Source organism: Homo sapiens, chromosome 12 (assembly GCF_000001405.40).
Source record: "Homo sapiens chromosome 12, GRCh38.p14 Primary Assembly".
NCBI lineage: Eukaryota > Metazoa > Chordata > Mammalia > Primates > Hominidae > Homo > Homo sapiens.
This window is the reverse complement of record NC_000012.12, coordinates 58,390,052-58,397,157: the sequence shown is the minus strand read 5'-3', so window position 1 is coordinate 58,397,157 and position 7,106 is coordinate 58,390,052. Positions and strand designations below refer to the sequence as shown.

The following is a 7,106-nucleotide window of genomic DNA, read 5'->3' as shown; positions in this document are numbered from 1 at the left end:
AGAAGAGAACAACAAACATAGGGGCCTACTGGAGGGTAGAGTTTGGGAGAAGGGAGAGAAACAGAAAAAAATAACTGTTGGGCACTAGGTATAGTACCTGGGTGATGAAATCATTTACAGAACAAACTCCTGTGACACAAGTTTACCTATATAACAAACCTGCACATGTACCCCTAGACCTAAAATTAAAAAAAAAAGAAAGAAAACAGATGATCCTAGATTATCCAGTTATCACTAATGGAATCACAAGGTCCTTATTAGAGCTAGGCAGAAAGATCAGACTCAGTAGAAGGAGATATGAGGACAGAAGCGAAAGATTGGAGGTAAGGAATAGGAAAGGAAGGGGCCATCCTCAAACAATGCAGGTGACCTCTAGAAGCTGAAATAGGGAAGGAAACAGATTCTGCCCTGAAGCCTGCAGAAGGAGCATCGTCCTGAAAATACCTTGGTTTTCGACTTCTGGCCTCCCAAACTTTAAGAGAATAAATCCTGTGTTGTTTTAAGCTCCTGCACTTGTAGTAATTTGTCACAGAAGCCACAGGAAACTAGTACTTACAAAGTATTTTTAGTGGCCTCTTTGCCCACACTAAAACTTCCTCTGCTGTTGAGTTAAAAATTCCTCTCAATTCCATGCTTTAAACAGTCCTAAGCAGTCCCCTAATGCAGGGCATCTGGTGCCCTGAGTGGGTCCAAGATGTCCAGTCCGCTTCTAGCAGCTGTTCAGAAACTACACTGACAGCATAGTCAGCCAGGAAGACTCCCATATTTCAATGAGGAGAAAGTAAGTTTATGCGCAATTTTGCAAAGGGTAACTGTGTCATAATTGCAGCTTCAGTGTATCTGCTATGACAGAGGAGAAATCTATTTTGAAGAGCAATTATTTTCATTTTCTTTTATTAATTGTGTATTGAAACAAGTAAGATTCCCTGACATCAAACAGACCGGTTCTGAGGTTTTACCCAAGATAATTTAACAGCTCCAGCTTCTGCAGTATTCATCAAAATACAAAAGAAAAAGTAGAGGTCATCTTTTTTGATAGCAAATTGGACTCTTGCAAGCTAAGGGAGAGAAAGCTATGTCATACATGGAGATAGGGTGCTTCCAAGGGTCTGTAGGTTTAGAAGCATGGCCTGCCTGGCTCACACACACTCCTGCTGGTGATGCCAAAGACATCCCACCAATATGTCTGAGAGAGTGTCAGTTCTGGAGGCAATGAGCCCACTCTGGCCATATGCTTACCAAGGGACAGGTGGGGCCTGTGTCCCCTGAGCTGGCTGTGGGCAGGTGGATGGGCAGCTGACCAGCCTAGGGGAGAGTGGGCTGGCAATGGGTTCCTAGCCCAGCCCTTAGGAACCATGGAAGCACAGGGACAAGCATAAGGCTATAGGATGCAAAGTGACCCAAGAACAGGTGAGTCACAGGGATCTCTATTGCAATCATGCAGAATTGATGTGGTCTGACAGGCCACCACCTCACATTCCTGAGGGGAACAGCCAAGCTGATGACTAGCATCCAGGCCATAACTGCAAATCCACACTAGGCAGGGTCTCCCTTCTGTGTGTTCAAGTGTTCTCAACTTGGATTTTTAACCATTTTAAAAATGGCTGAGTTCAGGCTTAAAACCAACCACAAGAATGGATTTCAACATAGCTCTAAAGCCAGGGGTGCATCCAGTAATCCCAAAACAGTGATCAATCCCAGAGGCCAGGTGCCCACGGGCCTACAATCCCTCTCAGCACTGACCAGTGAGTTGATTTTATTTTTTACAATTAAAAAAAAAAGCTGAGTAATATTGCATGTGACTACCAGAAACTGTCTTGTTGGAAACAAAACCTATTTACATTTAATGAAAAGCCTGGCCACAGGCTGCTTCTGCCACATTTACAGCACAGTGCAACGCACACAATAAGCCAAACCACAAAGGCAGTTTCTGGCATTCACAGTACAGAGCTTTTTGCCACATGGGAGTAAAGAAGAGGTTTTAAGAGGACGAGGGAGATGGAGAAGGGTGTCACATTCACTTCCAGTTCTGGAGCTGACTGGACAGCCAGTCCAGTCCTTCATGGAGCTGGTCACCACAGGTGCCACAGGTGGCCTGAATGTATCAGTTCCTGTGGAGCAGGGAATGCAGCCCCAGCTTGTCTGTGATCTCAGTGGTGTTCATGGTGTTGAGAAGGGCCTACTTGTTGGGAACACCAGGGGGACCGCATTCCAGAGCTCATCCTCAGCCAACATCCTCATGAGCTCCTCATGGGCCTTGTTCATGTGCTCTCTGTCACTACTGTCCTCCATAAAGATCAGGCCTTATGTGTTCTGGAAGTAGTGGCACCACAGAGGCCAGATCTTGTGCTGGCCTGCCATGTCCCACACAGTGAAGCTGACGTTCCTAGACTCCATGTATCTGCATTGAAGCCTGTGATGGGAACAGTGGTCACAATCTCAACCAGCTTCAGCTTATACAGAATCATCATCTTGCCTGCAGCATCTAGGCCCACCATGAGGACAAGCGTTTCTTTTTTGCCAAAAACGACCTTAAAGAAGTTGGTAAAAGATAATCCCCATGGACCCTCAGCCTCCCAAGTAGCTGGTACTACAGATGAGCACCATGACGCCTGGCTAATGTATATATTTTTAGTAGAGATGGGGGTTTTGCCATGTTGGCCAGGCTGGTCTCGAACTCCTGGCCTCAAGTGATCCACCCACCTCAGCCTCCCAAAGTGTTGGGATTACAGGCATGGGCCACCATGACTGGCCTCCATCAAATAACTTTTTAAAAAAACAGTTCTCTCAACTTCCTTGCATCACTATCTTCCCTTCACACTCCCTGGAATGTGTCTCCACATCTAGACTTTCCCTGAGCTTCTGATCACATTGGCAAATATCACACAATTTTCCAATTGCTATCACTCTAAATCAAGGGTCTTATCTGGGCTCCCCTTCCTGCTCCACAACCCCTTCTTCTGTCTTTGGTCAAATCCCTTTTCCACTTCCTGAAGTGATGCTTCAAACTTCATTGTCTCCTTAGGCTTCCTACTCTACCCTCCGCAATCCCAGCCCTCCCTCAGGAAATTATCTCACTTCACACTTCATGTGAATTTCAACTTCTTGCCCCCTGTCTCACCACTACCTCCCTTTAAGGCCAAGCTTCCTTTCTTGCTTTGTCTCCTCAGAAGATGAGATGTTCCTCCTCTAGTTCAAAACTAACTTCTTTCTTTGGGTTATAATCTCATTCTGTTTTATTTCTACCTCAACTTACTCCGATTATTACCTGCTCTCTCTCTCCCATTCAATTGTCTGTTTTACCTCAATGTATACAGTTGCTCTAGTCATTCCTATCTTTGCAAAAAAAAAACAAAAAACAAAAAGTGTTTGGACTCCAAAATTCCCTCTTGCTTTGAGCCACACTTTCCAGACCACTCTTGATTCCTCTACTTCTTCGCCTCTCATTCACTCTTCAGTGTAATTTAATGTCTACTCCAAAAGCAGCCCTGAAATTACACTGGCAAATGTGACCAAGGAACTCCATGTTTCCAATTCCAACAGATATTCTCATTACTAGATTCCTTGTTAGAAAATGAGAGCAAGAAATTAGCTTAAACAGAAATAAAGAATTTTTTTTAGGATTATAGAAATGACCCCACAGGACTCAAAGGCAAAAATGCCTGAGCTTCAAGAAAGGCTAGAACCAAAAAGCGAAAAGTTACTGGCAATTTGGGCAGGTTTTCCTCTCTGCCTCCACTCCCCTCTACTGCCCTAGACTCTGTAGATGGGCTTTCTCCGCCTCTTCTGTTCACATAGCATCCCCAGTGAGTCATCATCAGTGCTACACTTCATTGCCTCTGGTAGAATTCATCCCTTCTGAGGTATCTATCTCATTTTAAATCGGCTCTAAGATGAAAAGTTATTTATGTTTCTACACTGTGTCTCCCTGCTTCTTCCAAATAACCTACATCCTACTTCTCAGACTACATAGAATAAACTTAATCTATTTTTATACATATCATTCCTACAAATACTTCAAAACAACTATCATGTCTTATTGAAGTTTCCTCTTCTATGAGAAAAGCATGCCCAGGTCCTGGTCCTCCCTAGCCTTATCCTGGTCTAAACCAGTGGCTCCCAAACCAGCAACAGCAACATTACCCTTGGGAACTTGTTAGAAATGTAAGTTTTGGGGTCCCAAGTCAAACCAATTGAATGAGAAACTCTGGGGCTTAGGATTCAGCAATCCGGCTTTTAAAAAGCCCTCCAGGTGTTCCTCATGCATGCTCAAGTTTGAAACCCATTGCGCTAAACTTTCTCTCATCTGTCTAATTCTCCAGAAGTGTGACTCACCTCAGCTGAGCACAATTCTATAGGCATGGGGTTGGGTGATAGATACAACAAAGAACAGTATGGTCTTCATCACTCTTGCTGTTCTTATTAACACTTAAGAGTAACTAAAAAGTATTTTATAGATTTGTTTGCTGGTTTTTATTTTACTAATCATGGGAATGTAAGTTCCTTTAAATGAGAAGACCATGCCTGCTTTACTCATCCTTGCGTTCTTAGTGACCAGTACAGCACCTGGTTTATGGTAGGCACTCAATAAATAATTAATGAATAAATGAACAAATAAATGAGTGAACAATATACTATGATAATTTGTTGTAGCCACATCATATCATTGATTCATATTGAATGTGTAGTCAACTAAAGGTTTCAGGACATTTTTCTCCCATCTGATACATATTCATTTGGGGGTTTGTAGCTAAATATGGGAATTTGCCTCTATTCCTTAACAAATCTCAGCTTGTTAAATTTAATCTATAATTTCAGGCTATAAAGATCCATTTTCTTTTAAGATATCACAATTCTATCATTTGGAATATATTTCAGCCCCATTAATATATTATAAATTTTATCAGGATTAGATAAATTTCTCTTCCAAGTACCTATTCATAAAACCAAATACCGTTTTCTAGCATTCCTTTGATAAATCATTTAAGTAGCTGCAAATTTATCCATGTACAGTGCTGCTCCAATCTTCTAAAGCCAGTGGTTCTCAAACTTGAGATGCATCAGTCTCCTGGAGGACTTGCTGAAATACAGATTTGCAGGGCTGCACTCCCAGAGAACCTGATTTGATAGGTCTGGTGTCAGACACAACAAATTGCAGTTCCAAAATTTTCCCAGGTGATGCTGATACTTCTCATCCAGGGACCACACTTAAGGAACCACTGCTTCACTTCACAGCACACCTACAATCACAGAAAAAGGGCCTCTTATAAGCTGGCATTTTTACAGCTTTAATCTCAATCTACTTGTTATTCCTTTGCACTCCACTTTCAAATTATCATGGGGATAAGGATCTTAGGGATTAAAGAAAGCTTGTATGAAAATAACAAATGATTCCTGAAGCTCTTGAAAACACTTGTTAAATTATTAGGTTCAGAATATTGAAGTGTATAAGCAAGTCGCTCCATAATTTTGCCTCCCCCACTCCGTTCACAATTTAGACTCCATACACTACTGTACTATTACATGTGTCTATATAGAATACAGAGCTTATGTAGCTATCTAATGTTGAGCTAAGATTTTATATTCTGCAACTAATTGCCACCTAGATATCATTCTTTGGATGACTTTGTGCATAAAACCTATTTGAGCAGTTTTCCCTCACGTGGTTGAACTTAGAGGTTGGGCTTACGTGAGCCAAAGGGTGCTCAGGAGAAACAGCTCTAAAGCCTGGTTATACCGTGGCTTTTTTCACTATTCTTGTAACACTGATGGAGGAAAGATGTGACTTTTCATGTTGCCAATAGCAACTATAAGCTTCTTATGGTCTGCACATGCATGAGTTTTTGAGGTGGTCTGTCAGCCCAGCTATGGCCCATATCTGTCCTATCTTGCAGGCTTTTGTCCTCAGAACTCATGTTCTCCTATATTCCATTCACCTCACCCTCTGCCCTTGAGCTTCGCATTGCTTTTCCGACTTGGACCTTTTGCCTTCCAATGCAGCCTGTCACTCTAACTACATTGCACTGCTTTTAAATGCCTAGAAGATTCTATTTTTTGGGATGGATTATGAGATGGGAAAAAGTAGAAATATAGAGTTTGAAATAGGGAAATAATACAGCAACATTCTGGGGGAGAAGGAAGGGATAGAATTAAAAGCAAGTCGGTGCATGCATGCAGGGGCTCACTGCATGCACAAGCTTACACTTGGGGTGGGAGGGGATGGGAGTACTGACTACACATGGAGAGAGGCTCACATCATCTATCCTCTATGACACTGAAAGAAAGAAGAAAAAATAGATACAAATGGGGTAATTCTGTAAGTGGTGAGTGGAGAGTTCAAGTTATTTCACAACTAATTACCTTGCTTTTCTTGTGAAAGTAGCAAAAGGCATACTCCGCAGAGAATTAGGAGATATGGGCAGATATATGACTTGAAACATTTAGAAATGATTTGTATTGCCTGAGGAGAAACATGGAAGAGGGAAATGATGAAGCATGAAGGTCCTACTGAGGCTGGAGACAAGTGTGTGTCCAGATATCTGTTCACATGGCAGTAAGATTTTCTTCAGCAGCATGGAGCAGCACTGCTAAAGGAGCAGAGAAGGTAAATTGTGGCATTGAGCTCAAATCCCCACACTCAAAATGCAGGTAACAGGATGAATGTTAGTAACAGAGTTATTGGGCTGATGCATGGAATCCAGATTAAGTACTGGAAAAAAAATCAATAAGTGAAGATAAAGAAGAATTCAAAGATTAAGGTCAAATCGTGGTTTTACTAGGAGTGAGGATATAAGAAAGCTGGAAGAAGTTGAGGTTGTAATCTGCAAATGGAATATTGACACTTAAGAACTTTAGAAGGATAGAAATTTCTTGTGCCAACAAGGTTTACTAGATGGCCGCAGTGTCAGTGCCTGAACTTTGGCGATGTTTGAGGTTGCTAGAGTTGGAAAGGGTAAAAATTTCTGAGACTATGCCACTAAATTGGCTATAAATAGGACACAAATAATAAAAGATACTTCCAAGACATGAACAAGAGACATAAGCCAAGTGCCAATGTTTTTACTTCATATAGGGGAAAGATCAGAAAATTAGCTGATGGCAAGTAA

The 7,106-nt window shown here is 41.9% G+C and overlaps 1 pseudogene; it reads right to left on the bottom strand.

Moving 5' to 3' along the window:
• Positions 1-1,993: 1,993 nt before the first annotated feature.
• On the bottom strand, positions 1,994-2,543 carry LOC101060021 (ADP-ribosylation factor 1-like; annotated as a pseudogene).
• Between the last annotated feature and the right edge of the window lie 4,563 nt (positions 2,544-7,106).